This window comes from Homo sapiens, chromosome 8 (assembly GCF_000001405.40).
Source record: "Homo sapiens chromosome 8, GRCh38.p14 Primary Assembly".
Classification (NCBI taxonomy): Eukaryota; Metazoa; Chordata; class Mammalia; order Primates; family Hominidae; genus Homo; species Homo sapiens.
In genome coordinates, this window is record NC_000008.11 from 13484480 (window position 1) to 13510752 (window position 26273).

Below are 26273 nucleotides of genomic sequence, written 5' to 3' on the forward strand. Positions count from 1 at the left end.
TCTCTTTAGTTTTTGGAGCGATGGATATACTTTAACTTGCTTTGCTTCAAAGTAAATTGGCTTTTAAACTCCTTCCTTAAGGAAAGGATGGAACCGAACACGAGTGATGGCTATTGGTTACAACTCATTCTTGATTCTATGTATCTGTTTAGTTTTCTTGGTTTCATAGTTTCACAACATCCTTGTTAAAATGCAGAAGGGTGTTATCAGAGTGGCAATGAAATTCTGCCCAGAAGGAACTAATGGCAGCAACAGTAGGCAAGGTAAATATGTCACTTTGAACATAAACAGTCCCTGGAGGCCATCTGTCATATATACAGAAAAAGTCCATCTCGTCCTTCTCACCTGGGTACCTACTGACCATGACAGGGATGTGCGCTATGACCAGCAAGCAGAAGAGAGATTACGTGGGACTCACAGTGGTTGGACCAGGAGACTTATGACAAAATATTTGCTTATTTGCTAATAATTCTTCCAGAATTAAGCACTTATGAAGTGGTTGAAATGGTACCCATTCCTTGAAAATGCTATGTCAAGTACAGCTCTCCAGGATTTGAAATATAGAACAACAATAAAAATCCCTAGACAAGGTTATGATTCACCTTAAGTGTGGTGGCTATTTTAAATCTTTGGTACTTTAAACATGGCTTCGTAGCTCCTTTATACTTTCTTTTAATAGCAGGGATTTTGGAATTCTAACACACTTCTACTATTTTCTCCTACATAGAGACTGACTTTTATTTTTCTTTCCCAAGTCCTGATGCAGTATAGAAAACCATAGTGTAGCCATCTTTGTTAGCCACAATACTTGGTTTTATTCACTCATCATAAACAAACAATAGGCTTAAAATGACTTCAATATAGCTTGAAAAGAGACAGTAGCATTGTCCTTGTTTGAACATGCACTTCTTGTTGCTACTTGCCACCCTACCCTATTTTCTGCTGTCTCAAGTGACCTTATGTATACCACATTTTGCTGTGACATTCTGTGCAGTAACTGGAACTCTAGCTTGGCACTGCACAGCCATGTTTTTAAAAGGGAATACTGGAGGTGCAAATCTTGGGCAGCAGTTTGTATGCATCACTCACTGTATCAATGTAGTAACGTATCTGTTGACATCTCCTGAGTAAATCTGGTCCTCTTAAAAATGGAAAGACGTATGTGAAAGTTAGAAATTAAATCTCGTAATCTACAGACTTCACATAACCCACACAACTATTGTTCACTTATTCTCTAACAGAAGATACATTCTCTCAATGGCCAGGCTTGAAGATTTAGGATTCCAATAACTATCGGGTATGAAATGTCAAAAATAGATTTATTTCCATTTTGAGTTGCCCAGGAAAGGCTCATGCACAACTTAGCATGCTTTTTGTTTCTAGTCTAAGCAGAATTTTAAGCATAAAAATTTAGTGCTTTATGTGATCAATGACATGTTTAAAAGAAAAATTTGCATGACGAGTACACAGAAATCCGCTAGCTAACTTCCTTTATCCTCTGCCCTCTTGACAATTGCTCATGGCATGGGACTTGTTTGAAATACTTTTCAGCTTGTTTAAAATTTATCATGCCTCAATCCAAACACTGTGAACATCTGAGAGAAAGCACTTTGTAACTTTTAAGTGGACAGAGATCACATTTATGATAAAAGTCTATGTTGACCATGGGGAAGGAGTACAGAATAACCGAATGAAATGAAAATTCATGCCTTAGGAAAAAGCAAATTTTTATTGCAAAACTAGAAACCAGGAGAAACGTAGAAAAAACAAAGCTCATTTTAGACTCCATTCCATTTTGCTTTAAAAAATCCATTTTATGTTTTTGTCAGCATATACCTGAAATGGCAGTTAAATTCTCAGATGTTTTTTTCCCCCGCACACAAAGTAGACAAATGTCTGAAAGAGGCATAAGACATTTCCTTTCATCATTTAAGAAAACCCTTAATATTAGGTTTGTGTTACATTTCGATGTTGGCCAATTCTTTCTGATTACTTTTAAATTATAGAGTTTCCATAATAATGTTCAACTCAGCATTTTCTCTGTGGGGCAGCAACTTCACACTGGTACCACGACATACCACTATTAACATTCTAAGTTACAGCTCCTTGGTCTTGTCAATACCCACACATTTTATTTTAGTTCAAATGAAATGCAAGGGTATTTAGTTTTTTCCAGCTGAAACATTCCATGAACCTATGAAATGCAAATTCTGGGTGTTTCATCCATATTTGTTTGTAAGATGACACCTAGCATGGTCCACTGAGCAATTACTTGCTTGTTGGATAAATGAACATAGGACAGGATATTCAAGATCTTGTGATTATCCTACAACAAAACGAAGGCAAAATGCAAGGGATGTCCTTGATGAATGGATTGGAAGTTAAAGTCCCAACTACACAACAGCAAATACATAGGGTGAGAAATAATCATTCTGTACACAAGAAATTGGCAGATTGTTTCTTAATGTAGGTACTGGTCAGCTGTGATATTGACTCAAAGTCCCATCTCCCTGTGCTTCTGTGGATGGGGTGAGGCAAATTATCCACCGGCCCTCTGAGGGAAGTCTGCTGCGGTTTCCTTTTGGAAGTCCTTTGGAAATGTGGAATCAGAGCACAATTAGTCGACTTACTAATGTAGTGCCTGCAGTAGTGACCGCTTGGTTCTTTTGTGCTTGTCACCTCTTCTACTCCAGGTTTCAACAAAGAGTATACTTTTGCAAGAAGCAAAATATTGCATTTCCAGTTGTGGATGATTATGACAGATACTGAAAATGAATGGACATCCATAATATTTTTGTTAAGTAAATTTATTTTAATATTCCTGCCATAGGTTTGGGCTATCTACATGTCATAATTCTCTTAAGAAAAAGTTTATGTCATTTGGAAATTCATCAATGAATTTTGTGCCCTAAATTGACATTCAGTCTCAAAATTTATACAATAATGGTAAAAATTAAGACTTAGTACACTGAACCTCAGCACTAATCTTTCCCACTCCAAGTTTGTCCCATAACAAGAGAAGACGAACAGCATAGCTGTTGAACTCACAGGGTCTGCATGCTCCCATTTTCTGTTCTTAGAGTTAGAAAATGTTTTCCTTTTTTTTTTTTTTGAAACGGAGTCTCACTCTGTTGCCCAGGCTGGAGTGCAATGGCGTGAGTTCGGCTCACTGCAACCTCCCCAACCCGGGTTCAAGCAGTTCTCTGCCTCAGCCTCCTGAGTTGCTGGGATGACAGGTGCCCACCACCATGTCCGGCTAATTTTTGTATTTTTAGTAGAGACAGAGTTTCACCATCTTGGCCAGGCTGGTCTTGAACTCCTGACCTTGTGATCCACCCGCCTCAGCCTCCCAAAGTGCTGGGATTACAGGCGTGAGCCACTGCACCAGGCCTGAAAATCTCTTGTTTTACACTTAAAGAAGGCGATCATTGATATTTTACATTTTATCAGATATTTATGAAGTACATTTCTTGCCTGCTTTACACTCTGACTAAAATACCTTTGGGGACCTCTTCAAAGTGATACTACAGAAAATTTCTAATTATGCCTAAGGCCAGTATGTGAGTAGAATATGAAATATGATCAGCATTGAAGTTTTAATGAAAGAGGAATTATTCTCATGCCTTCTTACTTCTCATGCTTTCAGTCAATTATGCTGACCTTGTTATAACTGTTCAAAACTATATAAAACAGTGTATTAAAAACATTCCGTACATGATTCTTATGTATCAGGGAGGGAATTGAGAATTAGTGGGAATGAATACCTAATATCATTATTTCATAGTTGAACCATTTTGTTAATATATCTCCTGCTAATGCCTTAGTCACAAAGCACATTTCCACAATTTTCATTTAGCTTTTTTATTAATTAATCAAATACTAGCTAGGGAGCAAATTAACTATAAATTAGCTATAAAGCCAGCATCATTTTCAGGACTCATTAGTATATTGAAATCTAGATAATTGTTTAAAATATGGTGAGCCCTGAAATTACGTAGCTAAAAAATAGAAGTTTGAAGACAGAAACAGAAAACAGAACAGTTAAAATGCCACAAAGAGATCCCTTTCCCTCATTTATTCCCACAAGTGCAAAATCTAAAATGTATCCTTTAAAGCTCAGCCCAGACACCAGCTGAGCGAAGACTTTTCTGACCTCCCCATCTGGAAAGGGATCCTCCCTTAGCCCAAATTCTGGCGATCTGAATACTTTCTAACTTTAATTATGTTGAAACCTAATTAAGATATAACTTTACTTGTAGTTCAAAACTTACCGAAGTTAATTACGCTTAATATGAAAGTTAGTTATTTGTGTGTTACATTGCCCCTACTAATGTGTAAACACCTTTAGGTAAGAAGGCACATATATGCTTATTCATATTCTACACCACACATAGCAAAGTGCATGGGAAAGAGAAGATAATAAATATTTAGCCAACGAATGCATATTCTAGGCTCAATTTTTTTTATTTTTTATTTTTATTTTTTGAGATGCAGTTTTGCTCTTGTTGCCCAGGCTGGAGTGCAGTGGCGTGATCTTGGCTCACTGCAACCTCTGCCTCCTGGGTTGAAGTGACTCTCCTGTCTCAGTCTCCCGAGCAGCTGGGATTACAGGTGCATGCCACCATGCCTGGCTAATTTTTGTATTTTAATAGAGACAGGGTTTCATCATATTGGTCAGACCGGTGTCGAACTCCTGACATCAGGTGATCTGCCTGCTTTGGCTCCCCAAAGTGCTGGGATTACAGGCGTGAGCCACCGTGCCTGGCCAGTGCTACTATTTAATGATAAAACTTGATGCCTCAGATGTCCATGTGGGTTGACATACTTTCTCAGTTCTCTCTTGAATTTGTCAGTCCCCGCCCCCGGCCCCGAGATTTTTCTAAGAAACTCTCAGATCTATAATTAGGGCAATTTAGTAAAACACACACACCATACACACACACACACACACACACACACACACACACACAAAATGTTGCTACTATTAAGAATAGCTGAAGTCACAAGGTGTTTACTATGTGTACACAGACACTTTTAACTACTTTGTATATATTAACTCATTTAATATTTCTGACAATAGATGGAGAATCCTGTTATACAAATGAAAAAAAAAAACTGTGCCATAGAGAGATTAAGTAACTTACAAGATTAGAAAGATACGTGTGAGGGAAGCAGGACTGAAACCCAGGCAGTTTGGCTTCAGAGGCTGTTGGCTTCTTTAGTTTGTTCTAGGCATAGTGAAGAATCTGTGGACACTTAACCCTGGGCAGTGCAGGAGTCCAGAAATTTCCCACTGAAGAAGCTACTTATGCTGGCTGCTTATATATGCTGTGAATATAGATTCTACTAGAATTTGCATTATTTTCAGATATAATAATTCTGCACTCCAATTATTTGGCTGTCAGATCCTCATCTCGAATTCTGGTTAAAAAATACCATTGTTCTAGGTGCTGTACTATGTGGATGTTTAATGAGATTTTCCATTTTACTTAATGTTCCTAACAATCTTGTAAGGCCGAGACTGTTTTCTCCATTTTCCAGGGGCATGAAAGGCTCACAAAGGTTAAATACACCCCCCACTTTAGGTTGTGCTTTTTTTCCTCATTACAGCTTACTCCCTTGGCTGGAAAATCAAGTTCAGTCCAAGCCATTCATTTTCTAGACCAAATAATGATGCTATTTCAATATTTTCAAAAATCTCTGGGTTAATTTTTAATGTGCATAAAAAGCTGCAAACCCTTTTGAAGTTTCATTGGCTCAAAAAATAGAAGTGAAAAAATTGAAGAGGTTCGTTAATCACTAGTTTTATTCCTATGTCAATACAGAACTAGAACTAAGAAAAAAGTTTATTTCTCCCAGTTACTTATATTTCCTTTGAAATTGGTGAGGTTATCTTTAAAATAGCACTATAATTTTCTTTACGGTTAGAAAATTATCTGTAGAATAGAGATCTTGTTGGCAGCAAGGGATAAGTATATTATTTGTAAGAACATGAGCCAGAAAAACAGATCCTGTTGGCACCACTGTGTCTGGTACCCAGATAAGAGGCAGGACTCTGTTACATAGGTTATGTGATTTATCCCAACTTGTGTGGATATTGGCATTTCTTCGAGGGAGGCAGCCAAAACCTATGGTTGTTTGTTGGTATTAAAAGATTAATAAATTGGTCATGGTTTATAGTAACAGAAATCCATGAGGAACAAGCTAAATCAGTTTCACTATTACGATGGCCTCCAATGCACAATTGGCTCTGAAGTAACCATTCATTATTTAAAATAACATCATAAAAGTGTATTAATTCTTGCTCCAATAAAAGCTGATGTTGGGTTAATGTGAACTCATTAATGATCCTGTTAACAGCTGATGTAAATGTGCGATTTTGGTTCAAATCACTGATTAGATCAGAGGCCCCTCATACATCGTAACTAATTTTTTTTCCCAATAATATCTGGAACAAGGAACGTTCAGGTTTAATTACCCTCATTCAGAATTTATATAAATATATATATACACACACACACATATATATATAAATTCAGAATATATATATATATAAATTTAGAATATATATTCTGAGTGAGGGCAATTAAATCTGAATATATACATATTCAAATTTAATATTTTTTATATATATATTCAGATTTAATATTTTTTTATATATATATAGCCTTAAAGGCATCTGGCAGCAAATCTCCCAACTTTATGTCATTTTCACAATGAAAATTAAAAAAGAATTTGTCAGCATTTGACACTCTCTAAACAAATGCTTCTCAATCTCCCCAATCATTTGTCTTTCAATCTCTTATTCTATTCTTCCTGCCATCTTCTCTCCACTCCACCCCCAACTTCCTCATAGTGACATTACCCAGAAAAGCTATGGAATTTCTAGACCAGTGGCCTCTGACATTTTTGATATGGACTCCCCTGCAAGCATGTGTATGTTACTTACTTATAAACAATAACACATATACTTTTGTGTTAATATGTATGTTATAGAACATACATAAAATTAAATGATAAAATATACGTGAATGGATATTCTAACAGTTTCCTTTTCTACACTCATCCTTGTCCACTCCTCTCTGGATACAACTAAGTATCTTCGGGATAACATTTACTACTCATCGTTTGCTATTGACTAATTAGTTATGATTAGTGAGTTCTTTTGTGGCACAGTGTAATAATGATCTCAGTCTTGAAGGTTTCCTCAGAGATCCAGATTTTACATGATTCCCTTGTCCCTCTTCTTCCCTCATGTCCTGATTTAGCACAGAACTAGCAGGCAGAACAGAGAGGGGATATGTGGCCAATGGTGGTGGTTGTATGACTTAAGTTCTTCTGCATCTTTATAACTTGGGTTCATGACACTTAGCATTATCCTCTGAAAATAAATATCTTACCACAACGAAGACATGCATTCGTTCTAGCATTTATGAACAGGTTCTAAGCACTGCGGACACAAGGTTGAATAATTGTGCTCAGTGAGCTACATTTTAGTTAGCAATGGTGGAATCAATTGGATTCCAATGAATTTGTTTATTATACATTATACATAGGATTACAGTAGGAATATATACATCATGTCAGTAATAAGTCTTCTGTGGGTATAGAGAGAACTGAGCAACTAACTTGACTGAGAAAACTGGGGAAATTAAACACCCCCAAAAAGTAAAACATTTGAGGATCTTGAAATATGAGCTTATCTGAGGGTTCCACCTCTAGCCTGTTGGAGATACAGCCCATAAGGCTGGCTCTGGTCATCACCTGATGTTAAAAAATAGCAATGATTTAGCTCCATCAGCTGTATAATCTCTGGAGTCAAGTTCATGTTCCCTGTCTCTTTGCTAAACTCCTGCTTGTGATAACCACATCATCCTGTTGAAATTGAATCTGATTCCAGCCTGCTACATATTCACTTTTTGTCAAAGACTTGTATTTATTTTTTTCTTTACAAATGACCAGTGCTATTTTTGGTATCCTATTTTAGCCTGTCCTTTTTTTTCTATCACTTACTCTCTCTGTCTCTCTCTCTCTCTCTGTTTTCTCTCTCCCTCCACCTCTCTCACTACTCTCTCCTCTCTCAGTGCCAGCCTTATACGTCATTCAAACAGAAGCCCTGCTTGGAATCTCCAGTGGGATTTCAGTGACTAGATGCTTTGCAATGGAATAAAGTCTGCTAACTGGCTCATGGTGGTGGACCAAGCACATAGGATAGCACCTGGGATATTGAAAATGCTCAATATTTATTGATTGATTTTACCAGACGCTATACCTAGCGTTTTCATTTATCTTACAATTAAATGTTTTTGCATTTCAAGTTGGTTTTAGGAGACTTATATTTATTTGTCATGAGACGATATATTTGAGCCCCAAATATCTGCAAATACATTTTTGGCTTTCTGGTTATTTATAAGGCAAAAACCAGGTTAAATGGCATGAAATTATTTGATAGTTTTCAGTGGCCCAATGAAGCACAAAATAAGCTATTTACAAAGCTATTGGCTTTACCTGGGACACAAAACTCACTAAGAATATGTTGGATAAGAACTGTCACAGGAACTTGTTATGAATTTACACACCAACTAACCACTTGGAAATAAGTTTCATTGCCAGCTCCAGTCTTTAGCCTAGGGAAACAAGTGTCAAAACAAGGGGATTTGGGAAGCACAATCTTCTCAACAGGCCTGTGTCATTAAAACCAGTGCAAGCTTAGTGTAAAATAATACTGTTATTATGAATTTATCTGCAGAGCTATATATACCTACCCTGCTTTACATTCCTTCCCTCCTTGTCGGCTGATACTAAGCTTATTCACAAGCTAATTCCTTCATTGTCCTTGCTTTCATTCCACATATCTTGCTACATTAGTCTGGAGGCTTGGCTTAACTATCTTTTAGGTTTTCATTTCTTGTTTTAATTTATCTTTTTAATTAAAAATTTTTCAGTTGATACATAAACATTGTTTATAATCTTATGGGGCACATAGATGATGTTTTGATACATACAATGTTTAGTGATCAGATCTGGGTAATTAGAAGAGCCATCGTTCCAAACATTGATCATGTCTGAGAACATATGTGCTGAGAACGTTCAATATCCTTCTTCTAGCTATTTGAAACTATGTATTATTGTTAACTATAGTTACAATACTTGTTATACTGTTAAATATAATTACAATATATTCTATACCTCTTTACATTGTAAACTTATTTTCTAGAACTTATTTTCTTTAAATAGTTCCTTTCCTTTTATATTGTCCCAGTCAGCCTCCTACTTTGGTTCATTCCATTTTCTGCACAATTTACTATCTTCTTTATGTCACCCATTGGTCAATGTTATCCTCCCCTTGTTACAAGTCTCCCCCATCAGCATTCAGGGGATAGAAAGGAAAGAGAGTATCATTTCAGGTATGGGAGTCCTTTTACCAAATGTTTGCATATTTTAAATATAGAATAAGGAGAAAATATTTGATTTTTATCAGTCATAGACAATGTATTATGTTTTCCAGAGATGTAAAGTACAGTATGTACAATATAATGTTTTATTCCTGGACAGTTTTTCTATGAGAAATGATATAGCATCTGATAAACATCACTTAATATATCAAATAGTTTCATAATGAGGAAAGGTATTCTGTTGCATGAAATTAAAGCACCTAGTGTTTATACAGAATACCACAGAACATATATGCAGCTTGGTTATTTCTTTCACAACGTGTCATGATATATTGGAATATATTTATGTTAGAGTGTATTCCTCAATATTTATGTTATGAGTTATCTCTCAATATAAATTGTCCCTTACGTCTTTGATAATAGAACTTTTAGCAAACATATGCTTGTCCAGAATGCAGATTCCAATGGTCAGTTCCTTTATTGCTAGATATGCCCATGCAACTAAATTCTAGCCCATGAAATTGCAGTGAAGCCGACGACCTGGGTACTGCCTGTACACAGGGTGCGATCACCCCTGTAGCCTTTTGCCTTCCCACTGACTTGAATGTAGAGGAGGACTCGAGAGCAGAGAGGGTAGATAAAAGGGGTGTGGATTCTGAAGGCATAGAGCCTATATATTAGTTCAGAACTTCTTATCCCTATTTTATGCGTGTGAGAGAAATATGTCATTTGAACCACTATTATGCTTTCTGAGATAGCAGCCAAATCTATAGCCTAATTAATACTGAGATATAGGCCGGGCACAGTGGCTCACACCTGTAATCCCAACACTTTGGGAGGCTGAGGCAGGTGGATCACTTGAGGTCAGGAGTTTGAGACCAGGCTGGCCAACATGGCGAAACCCCATGTCTACTAAAAATATAAAAATTAGCCAGATGTGAGGGTGCACTCCTGTAATCTCAGCTACTAAGGAGGCTGAGGCAGGAGAATTGTTTGAACCCAGGAGGCGGAAGTTGCAATGGGCGGAGATCACACCCCTGCACTCCAGCCTGGGTAAGGAAGCAAGACTCCATCTCAAAGAAATAAACAAACACACACAAACCTGAGGGATAAACTAAGACCCTAACATTCATTTAATTTGTTTTTGGAATATAAGGTTTTTGTTGGAATGTAGAATTAGGTGTCTTCTTAAAGTTCAGATTATCTTTGCATCTTTTTTGGAGTTTATTTTGCTTTGTAATATGGATTATTTCTTGTCTTATGTGAGCAAATAAACATATGTTCAGACATTTATATAATTATTATGGTTATTCAAAAAATTCAGAACTATTTAAGTAGTCTTTACAGAAGACTGAATTTTGTACTCTCTCTAATTAGTAACCCACTTCTTTAAGAAAAAATGTCTAACCTCAAGTCTTTCCCTAAATGTTTTCCATCTTCACATCTCATCTGGTTTAAAGAGACCACTTCTTAGACTGTCTCCCTCCTCCAGACTACTTTGGAATTTGTCTCAGAATTGCTTTTAACCAGCCGCCTCACCCCAGAGACCAGCCAGGCCCTGAGTGCTGGTCATATGTCACCCAACCTTATGGCACATTCACTAACATTTGCTCACAATTTGTTTGGTTTTCCTTTGATATCAGTGGCTTCAATTTCATTATATATTTCATCCTATTTAGAGGAATTATTGGCTTAAAAGGTCAATATTTGTGATCCCCTATATACTACATATATACTAAAAATAAAGGTATATACTTGTACATATACTACAAATGTAATCCCCTCCAATTGAGACTCCTAATAAATATACGTGTGACTAAACCCTGGTAGTCTGAAATATCATCGGAAACTAAGAAAACTAAGCTTTGCAAAACGATGAATGCCTGCTAAGATTTATGGGCTTCAAGGAAGGATAATTTTTATTAAAAGTACAATGATATCTCTAGAGCACTATTTCAATACATTTTGAAGATCCCCCTTATAAGCTCTTTTATTTTTTTCTTCAGGTCTTAGAACTTTGATGTGATCTTGACAAAAGAAATCAATGTGCACAAATTTATTGAAGGATTTGATTCAATCACATGATTATCAGATAATGAGCTGATTACAATTCCATAACTAAAATGATATTAGCCTTAATTGATTTCACTTTTCCAAGTTCTTATCTTACGGGTATTACTATGGCTGACAAACAGTTTTAAATATATAGACAATTAGCAAACTCTTTCTACCACTTGACCATTTGCCACTGCATTCCCTACAGACATGAAAATGTGGCACATGTGTGCCTCCAAAAAACTTATCTCTTCTAAACCAGTTGCACTAGTATTAGACATCAACTAGATTAGAACTCTTGTTAATAGTGTGAAAAACTTTATAAATATTTGTTCATAATTTATAAAAGCAGAATCATAATAATAATGCAGATAAAAGGTTGTTTTGTGCCATGCAGAAAATGCCTCAGCTTATATACTAAATATTATTTTATTTTTGTGTTTCTGTTCAGTGTATGCATTTCATACATAATTCTGTGATCTTTTATAAAGATTATATGGGGTAAAAAGTGAAAACCCCTCCTGTTCTTTTAATTCCACTCATCCAATGTAATTGCTGTTAACAATTTTGTGCCTATTTAGCCAGGATTTCACATATTATTCAGCCATACAGAGAGGTTTATATTACTATCTACATTCATATATATATACACACACACACACACACATACCTACACACACACATTTTGACATTAAGATTTGGCTGTCTATACATATTGGTCTGCTACTGTTGTTTTTCAGTACTATATTATGAGCCTCTTTAAAAGTTAGTGTGCTTGGATCTGACTCCATGTTTTTAATGAAAGCACAGCATTCCATACAATAGATAAATAATTAACAAATTCTTAGACCATTTCCTTTTTTTTTTTTTTTTTTTTTTTTTTTTTTTTGAGATGGAGTTTCGCTGTGTCACCCAGGCTGGAGTGCAGTGGTGCAATCTCGGCTCACTGCAAGCTCCGCCTCCCGGGTTCATGCCATTCTCCTGCCTCAGCCTCCCGAGTAGCTGGGACTATAGGCGCCTGCCACCATGCCTGGCTAATTTTTTGTATTTTTAGTAGAGACAGGGTTTCACCATGTTAGCCGGGATGGTCTCGATCTCCTGACCTCGTGATACGCCTGCCTCGGCCTCCCAAAGTGCTGGGATTACAGGCATGAGACACCGCGCCTGGCCTAAACAAATTCTTTATTGATGCAAATGTAGACTGTTTCATTTTTCTTTCAGTAACATGCAATATAGTGATGAACACCTCTGTACATATCTTTCTATGAATATGCTCTATTGTTTCTTCTGGTAAATTTCTAAAAATGGCGAATTGCCAATTCAATGGTATTTTAACACTCATCCAATAATGCATAAAACAAAAATTCTTACACGTTTTAGTTCTAAGGGCTTCTCACATAATTGTAGTTTTCTAGGATAAATTCCCAACCTAAAAGTTTTCATTTAATCTATTTATTAGAAGGCATCCTAAATGGGTTGTAGAGTTAAAGTAAATATTCCATCAGGCAATGTCACAACACTTTAGAATGACAGAATGCTTAAAATAGAAAATTTAAGTTAGAACTTGTAAATGAGATATAATTATAACTCTCAAAAGGCAACCATGCTATAGTGACATGTCCAAGAGTAAATTCTTTCCAGCATTCTTAGTATTGATATAAATGTTCAAGTGGTGAGTATATGTTTCTGGAATGTTTAATGTTTCCATTGGCAGTTGGGTGGAGTTTGTTTTATTTTAGGGGAGCTATGCCATAGGTCAGTTAATACTGTCTTATGTCATTACAGCATTCCCTCAAACAGATTTGATAGGATATATGAAAGTTTTTGAAAAAGTGATCTAAACAGTTTAATCATAACAACTTTATGGAGCATTAACATTTTCATAAAACTTATGTAAGGAAGTGAGAGTCTGCCAGAAGCACAAAATGCTCTGTTAGCATATAGCTTGTGGACACTGATTTTTGCTGTAAAGTCTTTGACTTCATTTAAACTAACTCACGACACATTACTGATCTAGTTTGTAAGCAAAACCACAGTCTATGAAAACCAGATTTCTTCACTACAAAGAAAGTAGTAGATTTTTTTTTCTCTCTCATGGTAGATAGCCCCAGTTGAACAGAACAAAGAACATTACTTTTGTGTTTAGGAGAATTGCAGTTATGGATGAATGTATCAAGAGAGGGGCAAGGATATATGTTTTAATCAGTGCATACCAGTGTCAAAAATGCAGGGTTTCTTCCATGCCATTGGCCATGTGGGGTTTATAGAAGAAGAAACTGTGCTTGGACTTATATCAGGACTATAACTCACTACAGTTTTTGGAAAAATGTGGGGAAATTCTATAGAAAAGACAGGTTTTGGTCAAGGGTTCACTTGCTAAACCATAATTCAGGTAGCACCATCTTAGCCCTTGCTTCTCTCACTTGAAAGCTTCGCAGGGGAGGATGGCATCTTTAGAATTAGTCAAAGGGGCTGTAGCATAAAACATAATTGTGGTTATTAGCCTTTTCTGGTTGACAGTTAAGTAACAGTTGTGGCAAGAAACAGAGACTATGATATATATATTGATGGTGAGTGTGCCAGGGTATCACTTAAAATGGCACCAGCACATTTTGGGGGTGGGAGTAGTTTAGCCTTTGTATATGTGAGGGGATTATTTTAAATATGTGATTTATACCACCTTTTTTTCTTATGAAAACATAGTCTTTTTGAAGAGAAAAAGAAATATGCCCAAATAAATGCTATAACAGTACCATGACTTTCTTTATAAGAATTAGAAATCACTCTACAGAATGCCTTGAATTGCATGTCTATGAGCTATCTAGTGGCTATTTAATTCCAACTAAAGAAAGGGATACCAATCCTGTTTTCAACACAATTCTGAAATAGAATATTCATAAACCATTATACACATTATTAGTGAAACGGATAGATTATTATTCTTTAATTTTTACATATTTTGATGGTTTGACCAAGTGGGTAGTCGTTGAATTACACATCTGCATAACAGGGCAAAAGAACCATCTTCATATCTTTTTAATCCAAGCAAAATGATAACTGATAAATCCAAGGATATTTACAAAATTTCAAAAGCCAGAGAATCTGTGCATATGTCTTACCTTTCTCTTACGAAGTCTGACTTGGTTATCTGTGGGTTCCTGGGTGGCCAGGGTCTCCTTTAATTGTAAACACTGCATGCCATCTTCTGCCTTGACCTTTGGTGGACTTTTGTTTTGATGTTGTGAAAAACCACTCTTCTCCAGGCCATTTTCAGCTGACATTCCATTGGGGCAGGAAGGAGGCTGCAGAAGGCAGCTTCCAAAATCTGTTTTTAATAATGGCAGTCCTCTGTTTGTGCAAGGAGTATCCAAGAACTCATTTTGTACTACATTGCAGGTGCTTCTTTCATTTTCATCTTTAGGGGGGTCAGGTTTCCTTCGTTGCTGAGCAATTACAGCAGAGTTAAGCAATTGTTTCTCAGGTGCAATATCTTTCACGTTCAAAGTATCCACTGCATTTACTTTGGGTGCATCTTTTATTTCACTTAAGCTTATTTCATTGCAAAGCTCCAGGCTTTTACTTATAGAGTCAGTAACTTTTCTCTCCCCACTTTCTTTTACCAGTGCTAATTCAGTTTCACCAGCTATTCCCCAGGAGTTAGAAGAAACTTGGTTACTTTGTATGATGGGCAGTGCCTTTTCTAAGGAGCCTGCTCCTTGGATCATATGTTGGCCTGATGTTTTCTGCCCTTGGGTATTTAAAACCTGTTTATCATCTGTAAGGCATAAATCAGCATTGTTATCCTCATCAGAAACATGCACTAGTGTTTCTGTGCTGGCTTCCAGAGAAAGAAACTGATCTTCACCTTCATGGCTGTCATTTTCGTCCACATCCTTTGAAAGATGACCCATTGGCCTCCCAGGAAAATCTCTCAGCTCTGATCCATGACAGCAGTCAGGTAGTGAAACACACTTCTCTTTGCGGTCCACATTTAGAGTTGCATCTTTTTCCATACTTGCCTGCAAGCTGTCAGCTACTAGTCCATGATGACATGCTGTGTTACGATCATCAGAATTAAAAGGCTGTCCCATCCAGTGGGTCACATGTTCTTCCCAGCTTCTCTTTCTGATAGCTACAGACATGTCATCGTAGTTTAACAACAGACAGAGAGATATATTCCATATGAGGGTAAAGGAGATGGAACTTGATGAAAGATTATTTCAAAATCACCAATCAAAGAAGCGAATGAGTTCTGTCATTTCACCACCTATTAAAAAATTCAAAAAAATATGTAGTCGCAGATACGTTTCTAAAGTCAAAATATATCTTAGAAAAGAGAAAACTTAATCTATGCTATCAAAGTTAAGAGATTTTATAAAGCTTCTGTTTAGTAGCTTTAATAATGTCATTTCTTTAAGAAGCCTAATACTAGAAGGAAATTTAACATTGAATATTTCTGATAAAAATCATCAGCAATACTTTTAAAGGCATTTAAAGGCAGTTGGATTGGTCCATTAATGAATAAAGATACAAATACTGAACATTTAAAACTCCATTAAGAAAATATGTGAAATGCAATACTTAATAAAAATCACTGGAAGAAACATTGTTCTGGCTTGCATGTTTTCCTGATTTACTTTTGTGAACACAAGTTGTTAAATAAATCTATTCACTGTTTGGTTTGAATCACAGCGAAAGCCACCAGGGAACTGTTCATGCAAAACTTGAGCTATAGAGACAGCATGTGTAATGTATTAGTGTGTGAAGGAGCTAACACCGAACCCAAACGACCAGTATGTAGTTACTCCAGGGAATGACTAAGAAACATGGAATAATCCAGTTTAGCACATATTAACACAGAATGCATGGATTAGAAAGCATAACACATACCATTTACAATTAGGACAGATACATCTGTACATGCATCCTACTACTGCTACTACTAGCTTGCAAGCTGGTATTTTTGAAGCTTAAGGGAAATTAAATAATTTACTAAAGTTATACATGTAGCAAGTGAGCCGAGATTCAAACTTGGTCCTGCTTCTAAGGCCCAGACTGAGATAGTCAACAAACTTCATTGTCTCCATGGAATTATGAGATTCTACCTTCATCCCTTCTTCCCACATAACTTTAGTATGTGTAAACTCTAAATATTTTATGCAAGAATTCAAGTGAACATAAAGGAAGATATGACTATAAGACAATTGGGACTATTCTTCAGAAACTTCAGTCTCATTCTGTTTGGCTTATAAGAAGTTTAGTTTGCATATTTCTGTTAGAATATGGCCATAAAATTTAAGTAAACAAGAAAATCATGCATAAGACAAGCTTAGAATACAAACACATACCAGGTACCCAAATTTTTGCCTTGAATTCTTCAAACCCTTAGTTAAAGGAAAGAAATAATACCAGTGTCAACTCAACGTTATAAAAATGACTAACCCAAATTTTGCCCCACAATGAAACTATATTATTGGACTGTAAAAGAAAAATCCCATTCACAGAGCAGACACTTTTAGTTTTTACTTCACACGAGAACTGTCAGCACACAACATGGGTTGAGTTACTGATTTCTGCTATAAACAAGATTAACTGCTATACTGATTTTCGATCTCTTTAGTCTATTCTATTGTAAAGGGCCTTGACTCCCCAACAAAAATTTCGAGCTGTTCTGACTAAGCACATGCCTGAGAGGTAAATATTTCCAGTCTGTAAAAACTGGCGAAATTGACATGTGCTAGAATTTTAGTATCCCAGCCTGACCAAGTATCTTTCTGGATACTATTTGGTTCCCTCAGAGGTCTGTGGCCATCTTGAAAAGTGGTCAGCCTTCACATTTTCCATGTTGACGTTCACTCTGCACTCAAAAGAAAATATAAAATCTCTGAATTCCATGCATAAGTCATTATAACGTGGGAGGCTACGGAAAGTGGAAAGAACACATAGATGCAAGCCAGAAAATTTCTGCTTTCATGGGCACATTTGGGAGGTAATAGGGTTTTAGATACTTTTCTCTCTTTATTTTTATCCAGTGTAGAAAGAGCCGGCTCACTTAAGAAATACCAAGTGGTATTACGATGTCACTCCTAAGCCACATTTATATTTTAAGTTGAGCCTGAATTCTGGTTTCATTTCTTTTACTAAGAAGAAATATAGTTTTATTAACTTTTTAGGCAAAAAGAATTACACAAAAATTTTGCCTTTAAGACTTGACAATAATATTCATTAATTTCTGTCACTCAACCTTGACAAGTAGGTAAGTATTTCTGTCAAATCAAAGGAAGATAGTTCAACAAGTTCTGAGACAATCTAACTGGAAAGAGAGACTATAAATAAGATAAATCCAATAAAGCATTAACTCTTCTTGCTTTCATTTCTAATCTAGGTGCTTTCAACATTTCCAAATCATTTCTGTAAGTGTACACTTTTATTTTTAAGATATGCAATTTCTCAATTTTCATAACGATCATTATTACATTTGGCATCTTCATTCATTCCATGTCATGTGGTCTGATAGTTTTTTTAAAAAAATGAATGTCTGCAAGCTCTCCTATCCAGTTTCTATTTAAATTTTGATTTGTAAGATTTATAGTTAAATCTGTCTCTATGATTTAAAGACCAGATTATTAATAAATAGGAGCATTAGATTATTGTCAATCACATCTGAGTTTATAGGTCTCATTTCCTAAATCATCTGAATTGATTATAATCTATCCCCTAATAGAGAGAAATCTTTGTAAAAGACTGACTTCTCCTGTGAGCCTCCTCACTGGGCCGCCTTATTTAAAATTACATTTCAAAAAACTGACTACTTATTTTTCAGATTTCTATTACATTTCTTTTGTAATCCTATTCATGCAGTTTCATTCAGAATGAGCTCAGTTGCTGAGGATTTGGATGGAGGATCTGGAAAATTGTAGGTCATTTCAGGATGTTGGTTTTATGAAGTGAATTTCCATGGGGATTTTTCACTTCTTAAATTCATGTGTTCAAGCACCGTGACATTAACATCACAAGAGACTGTATGTACTTCTAATGATGCTATGATTCTGGAAAATACTTTTGAAATTTCCAAATTTGTGATATTCGTGCATGATTTTGAATTCATTGTTTGGGTTAATTTTGTAACACTTACCATGCCTTAACGTAAGAGTTTTATAGCATACAATATATACATTAAAGTTGAACAAAATTACTGGGCATGATGGCTCACGCCTGTAATCCCAGCACTTTGGGAGGCTGAGGTGTGCGGATCACTTGAGCCAGGAGTTTCAGACCAGCCTGGGTAACATAGAGAGATGATGTTTCTACAAAAAATGCAAAAATTAGCCAGGAGTGGTGGCGTGCACCTGTAGACCCAGCAACTTGGGAGGCTGAGGTGGGAGGATTGCTTGAGCCCAGGAGGTCAAGACTGCAGTGAGCCATGATCGCACCACTGCACTCTTGCCTGGGTGATAGAGCAAAAAAAAATAATAATAAATTAAACAAATTAAATGTTACCGTATTTAACAATTGGAGACATTCTAGTTTGAAAATCACTGATCTATATTTGATATCAAATGATCATGCTCTATTTTTGCACTTGTCTCTGAAATAGAAGACCACCTTATAATTTGGCCTGCCAATTGTTCTTAGAAAAGAAGAGCTTGATAATAATTACTACTGCTGATTCTACAGCCTGAGAGAGCAAGGTGCAGATGAAGTACCACTGGCTGAAATCAAGTGTTCAGTCTGTAGAACTGACAGTAGTTAGTTCATAATCACTATTCATCAAGCATTTATTTAGTACCCAGTGAGTGGCAGAAACTTGTCTAAACATTAGGAATATAAACCTGAATTGTATAGTCTACCTTTGCTACTGAAGCTTACCAATTTTGTGGGAGAAACTCCTGTAGACAAGGATAATAGTTACAAAGAAAGTTCTATCATAGATATCTATCTGTGGTAAATATCTATCTATCTGTGGTAAGTTTTCTGCCTCCAGAACGTTCAAGTCAAATGGTATTTGAGGTACAGTTTCCTACTGGATAGAAGAAATCTTCCTTTCTTTCTGGCTTCAGATTTCTACTATTCTAGAATTACCTCTTTGGAAAAGATAGCAGAGGTAACAATAAATTCCAGAGAATTGCTTGCAACTCGAAAACTCACTAGTTACCTTGGAGGGTAACATTTATCAGAAACATTTCAGAGAATTTTTTTTTTTTTTTTTTTTTTAAGACAGAGTTTCACTCTTGTTGCCCAGGCTGGAGTGCAATGGCGCCATCTCAGCTCACTGCAACCTCTGCCTCCTGGGTTCAAGTGATTCTCCTGCCTCAGCCTCCCGAGTAGCTGGGATTACAGGCATGTGCCACAATGCCAGGATAATTTTTTATTTTTCCTAGAGACAGTTTTCTTCATGTTGGTGAGGCTGATCTCAAACTCCTGACCTCAGGTGATCCGCCTGCCTCGGCCTCCCAAACTGTTGGGATCACAGGCGTGAGCCACCGCGCCCGGCCTTCAGAGAACATTAAGAGAAGAAATTTTTCAAAGAAAACAATTTTAGCATGTGTTCCAGAACAAATGATTCAAGTCTTCCGATTGAAGGGAACTCATGAGGATGCAATGGTACCAGAAAGAACAATAGACCACGTAAGAAATGTCGTTGTGAATTTTCAGAACATAGGAGGTAAGCAAATGGTTCTAAATGTAATCGGAGAAAGAGAAAAAGAGATGATATATTAGGAGCTGGGAATCAATGGTATCAGATTTGTCAAAAGTAACAGTGCAGGGAAGACGACAGGCAAATACGACTTCAAAATTTGGATGGGAAATTATGTCTGCCTTAAAATTATATGAAAAGTCTTACTTTTTTTTTAACCTCTTCTCAAAAGCTACTGGAGAGATAGCTAACCCCAAATTAAAAAATAAACACAGTGGGAAAGACATGGCAAAAGGAAGCCAAGAATTCAGCACAAGTGAGGAAGGTATAGAATTTTCAGGATAAAAGTTGTGTAGCAAGTCCAGTGGTCAATCATTTCACATAACTCCTAAAGTTGTCTCTGGGAGATGTCTCTAAAAAAAGGGAAATAATAAATTATATATGACATATTGAGAGGAATTTTATAATAAAGTCAAGCAATTTGGATGGAAGAATTATTAATAGTTATAGAGAACACTAGGGATATCAATTATCAACCACAGGAAAAATAGTTTTACAAGAAGGAAAATATAATTATAGTATACTCCATAAGCTGTGGCTAATTTTTTTCATGTAGTCAAAATAATGCAAATAGTAAACATTAAATTAACCAAAACATATGAAGCAATGATTTTCAGTGCATAGGATTCTGTGAGGAGTGAGATTAGGGAGAGCAGGGAAAATAATTTAAGGGAGATAGTCACTTTCTGTAGCAGGAAGTTAACAGATAATGTTTAAAATAGAAAAAAAAATCATAGTACAATCATATTGTTTAGAAATACAGAGTTAAATATCAGAAGACATAGCTAAAAATAATTTAAAGTATTATGATATTGTGTGCCATTTGCTAAGAAAGTCTTATCTCTGGATTTCAGAATTCATGCTAAAAATAATTTAAATTTTAAAATGTTCTACAGCAGTAATTTTAAGGTTAAGCTGATGCATAAACACGACTGCAGTTCTTCTGCAATATGTCTGGTGGGGCCAAACCATTCTTTTTGCCCCATTCCCCCTCACCACAGCATCCCCTCGCAATTACACAAACACCAGTCTCATGTACGTAGCAAAGAAAAGGTGCCAGTTTGGATATTTATCTTATGTCACCAATGTCAGCACAATTTCTATGAGATTCTTAGGTCAGTTCTTTCAGTTTCCTTTCCTTCCCTAACTCTCCTGGGGAATTCCTGAAATTTGGAACAGGTATTCTTAGGAATTGTCTAAGCCATAGTTTTCCTAAAATGTTATCTGAATAGAAGTTTAAGATACATAAAATAACATATAAATAGCATTACATTAGTACATGCACATAAATGGGGAATTCTCACTCAAATTCCCACTTTTCCTGAATCCCTCACTCACAGTACTTGGAAAGATGGCAACTTTTGTATTCATCCCATCAAATGCAGGTATCTTATTTTGTCCTTTGAGAATACATGTGATACATATATGTGTGTGTGTATATATAAAGCAGTCCTTTGAGAATACATGTGATACATATATGTGTGTGTATACATAAAGCAGTCCTTTGAGAATACATGTGATATATATATGTGTGTATACACACACATATATACACATATGTATACAAATACATGCACACATAAATATGTATATGTAAACACACACATATATATAAATGAACACGCTATTGACTTCTGGGTTGTGAGAGTGTGTGTGTGTGTACACATATATATTGATATAAATAAATGAACACATGATTGACTCTAGGATATTCTATTAAATATCCTGAATATTTAATGGAAGGGAAAATAAAGACATAACAGTACTGCCATTTTACTTTTCTTTTCTTACTTCTTCCTTAGATAGCTAGAATTACTTCTGGTTTCCCTTAGAGTTTTTCATCCTGATTAGCCATCCCATGTTAAATTTCTAGGTCGTGTTCTCCACCTACTGCTTTATACACATACACACACATGGACACACACACACACACACACACATGTGTGTGTGTGTGTATATATATATATATATATATATATATACACATATATATACACACAGAGAGACACATGCACCCAAATATATATGTGTGCATATGTATGTATATAAATATACACACACACTTACATAAAACAGCTATCGCATAGCATGTGCTTAGTCACTGTGGGAAGGAAGAGAAGATGTAAGGGAAATAATCTCATGTTAATTAAACGCAACTTAACAGTTTCTAAAATGCTCTCTCAGCATATGAACGAAGAAGAAGACACCTCTACATTTGGCACATTTTGTTGCTACGTGGTGAGGGTCACCTTAGTAAGATGCATATGTTGGAAACCTGAATATCTGGTAATGATATGAAATCTTACTGTATCTTAGCCTACTCTTGGGGACTCACACTTGTACATCGTATGTGCCCCCAAAACACTTACTGAATTGAATTAGGCAACTAGAAAAGACGATCAACAACCTGGAAACAGACATGATCACAGGAGCACAACTTAATATAGTTCTTCAACTCATGTCAAAGTAAATCTTCATTACAAAGAGCATTTGTGGAAGCCAAAATGAAACCCATTTTCTTAATGATAATGTCAAAGAACAAATTACCTAGCAAACTAAATTGTGTACATTTGGGCGCCTTCCCACTGGCACACAGCTCAGTGATAAATGAAGAGGAATGCTCTTTACGACCAAACTGACTTGACATATGCTTAGAAGCCAGAAAGCCCAGGGAAGATATTATGTTTCTTAATTCCTTTATGTAAATACACAAACAAATAGCAAAAACCGTAAGAGCACATTTCTAAAAAGCATTTCTATGAGTCTAGTCCAGACAGCCAACTTTCAGTAAAAAACAATTAGTGTTTTTCCTTTAAAATATTCATGTTATCTAATCTAAATTAGACAAGACTAGAATTAGACTGTGGGTGGATAAACATTTAATAACATGATGCAAGAATTTACCTCCATATGATTTCATGCAGATTCCCTTTCTTTAGTAGCAATATGTGTCTTAATCCCACACAAAATCATTATTCCTCTACTTTTACATACTTTGTTTAATGCTGGAATGTACTTGTTATACCTCATTACATGTTAGTGGAAAACATGAATCCCTGTTAAAAGTTTTATTGGCAAATTGCTTAATGGAGATTAAAATATTATATATGAAGTAGCTTCCATGTCTTTAGGCTGTCTGGAAAGCATCAAAAACTTTACCAAATTAAAGAATAAGTCATCTATAATGAGCCAAGTAAGGGGAATAAGTAGTGTTTCACTTTTTCCAAAATACACATCCAACGTTCCATCAGGTTTAGTCTTTAGAAGAAAAATGAAGAAATAGGTACCCAGCTGAAAAATATTATTTTATTGTTAACCCATTTTTAGGTATATCTGAGTTTTTACTCAACTTAAAACATTTTTTTTATTCTTAGCCCTCAGTGATTCAGGCAAATTTGAAAGTTAACTCTTTCAATCCACTAGAAGTCAGCTCATGAGAAAAGAGCAGGGTGTTGCAAAACTGCAAGCTATTATTTCAGCGGTGCTCTATTTTTACGTCCAGGTTGCTGCTATTTAATGTCGCTTCCAGTAGTGTCTAATTTTCTTGCAGAGAGGAGAGCAGATACTGGCAGTGTTTGACTTACCACCCACTTTATGGCTCAAGCCAGCCAGATTTGGAGATTCTCTTAACATTTTCTTAAGCAACCCGCATGTAATTTGAGGAAACTGGGAATATTTTATGATATTCTCCTGATATCACTGAGATCTTTCTGGGGATATTGGTTTCTAGGAGATCCCAGAATTAACAGAGCCATGTGGGACAATATTGCTTTATGGATGTAGTAACTTCTTTTTCTTTTTTTTTTTTGAGACGGAGTCTCGCTCTGTCGCCCAGGCTGGAGTGCAGTGGCGCGATCTGGGCTCACTGCAAGCTCTGCCTCCCGAGTTCATGCCATTCCCCTGCTTCAGCCTCCTCAGTAACTGGGACTACAGGTGCCCATCACCAAGCCCGGCTAATTTTTTTGTATTTTTAGTAGAGACAGGGTTTCACTGTGTTAGCCAGGATGGTCTTGATCTCCTGACCTCGTGATCTGCCCACCTCGGCCTCCCAAAGTGCTGGGATTACAGGCGTGAGCCACCACGCCCGGCCAGATGTAGTAATTTCTAAGTATCTATGTTTTATTTGGATCTCCATGTTTTATTTTTTTTTAAGTATGCAATCTTCTTAATAGTACTGTTTGATCCTATGCAGAATAATTTGGGCATTTACAAATACATTGTACCTTAGATTAATTCTGCAAATAAATTCATTAATGAATAATTATCTTCTTTGCCATAATATCTCTTTTCTGTAGAACCTCTTACAATAAAGAGAAGTATTGCCTTTCCTCTGATCTTGTTTCACTTGAAATTTTTCATGTAACAGGAAATAGCCTAGGGTTAAAGTTGATATTAAACGTGTGGCTGACCTTTTTATTATTGATGGCAAAGCAGTATGATTGAAATGTGGTTTGCTGTATTATAAAAAGATATTTTTATTCAACAAGGAACACGGATTATAATGTTTTATCATCATCATGGTGAGATGCGGTTTTGCTTTAAGTGGTCACTTTATTTTTAGCTTTGCTATCATTTCTAAGAACACTCCAACAGTAGACACAGTAATCACTCCGCGTAAATAACAGATATAGCTACATCAACCCAGGTGCTCAGATAGCAAGTTGACAGTAGGGAATTACATTTTTAGTCATTCCATAAGCACAATTTTCACTGAAATCAGGAACAAGATGTCATTAGGAACTTAATTACTTCTGTTAGCTTGGTGTCCTACCTGGGGTCAATGTCTCTGCTATCAACTTTTGTCTTCCATACATCTCTATCATCTCATCTTAATTATGTCATCTACCTATAAATGTTTGAGCTTATTTTTATCACCAAGTGTTTTTCTTAATACCTAAGAAATATTAAGTGCATTAGAAACTTATAATGATAATTATAGTAAAAACATCCTTCAATTAATTAAGCACTTATTATGGGCCAAGTACTGTATTCGGTGTGTTACTTAGAAGCTATCTCCTTTAGCAGTAATACAAATGTTGTATGAAACAAATACCATTATTGCTCTAATTAATTTGATAGGGAAGAATTTTGGCAGGACTGATTAACTAGCTCAGTGTCAAATACATACTGGTGGGCAGGAATTGTCTCCCATTTTTGTGAGGATGTCTGTGAAATAACTTTTTTCCCCCTGGTGATTAGGGTTAGTTACCTAAATTCTATGTACCTCAGTTTTCTCAGTTCTGTAATGGGAATAATGAAAAAACTGTTGAGGGGAAAATGATAATGAGTTAATAACAATGAGATTATAATATATGTAAAACACTTAGTCCATGGCACATTTCAAGCACTCACTAGATGTAAAGTGACTTGATCATGATGATGGTGATGGTGATGGTGATGATGACTCCTTTAGCTTTCAACTGATCTTAGCTGCAGAATCCAGGGCTGAGTATGAGCTGAAACTATCTCTTCTATGTCCATGATATTTCAATATAGATGAGTGATTAGAACAAAATGTGAGTGAAACACAATTATTCTTTATTCTTTTTTTTTTTTTTTTTCCTGAGATGAAGTTTTGCTCTTGTCGCCCAGTCTGGAGTGTGATGGCACAATTTCGGCTCACTGCAACCTTCACCTCCCAGATTCAAGTGATCTCCTGCCTCAGCCTCCTGAGCAGCTGGGATTACAGGTGCCTGCTACCATGCCTGGCTAAAGTTTTTTGTATTTTCAGGAGAGATGGGGTTTCACCATGTTGGTCAGGCTGGTCTCGAATTCTTGACCTCAGGTGATCTGACTGCCTTGGCCTCCCATATTCTTTCTTGATTAATTGACTTATGCCTTTTTAAACAAGGACTTGTTGATTATACTGTATGCAAAACAATTTGCACACATGAAATCTCATCTAATGCCTAACATGACCTGGAAATCCCATACTTTACTAATAAAAAGCAGAAACTCAAAGTAGTTACGGGGCAAACATCAAATCACAGAGCGTCAAGTGGTTAAGAGGAAATCAGAGCCAGTTTTCTAACTTTGTCCATTATTTTTTTCGGTACACCACCCCATTTAAAATGTGGAAAATTCACTAGTGCTCTGTTCTCACTGGCCTCATGTAACTTTTAATT

General features: G+C 36.1%; 1 protein-coding gene across 6 annotated transcripts in view; it reads right to left on the minus strand.

Moving 5' to 3' along the window:
- Nucleotides 1-26273, minus strand: part of DLC1 (DLC1 Rho GTPase activating protein) — a 521260-nt gene that overhangs the window by 401119 nt on the left and 93868 nt on the right. For all 6 annotated transcript variants that reach the window (NM_001348082.2, NM_001348081.2, NM_001413124.1 and 3 more), the window contains exon 2: nt 14570-15717. Coding sequence is in view for 5 of the 6 variants with exons in the window: in NM_001348081.2 (NP_001335010.1) it covers nt 14570-15592 (1023 nt within the window). In the remaining variant the exon portion in view is untranslated. The remainder of the gene's footprint in view (nt 1-14569; nt 15718-26273) is intronic.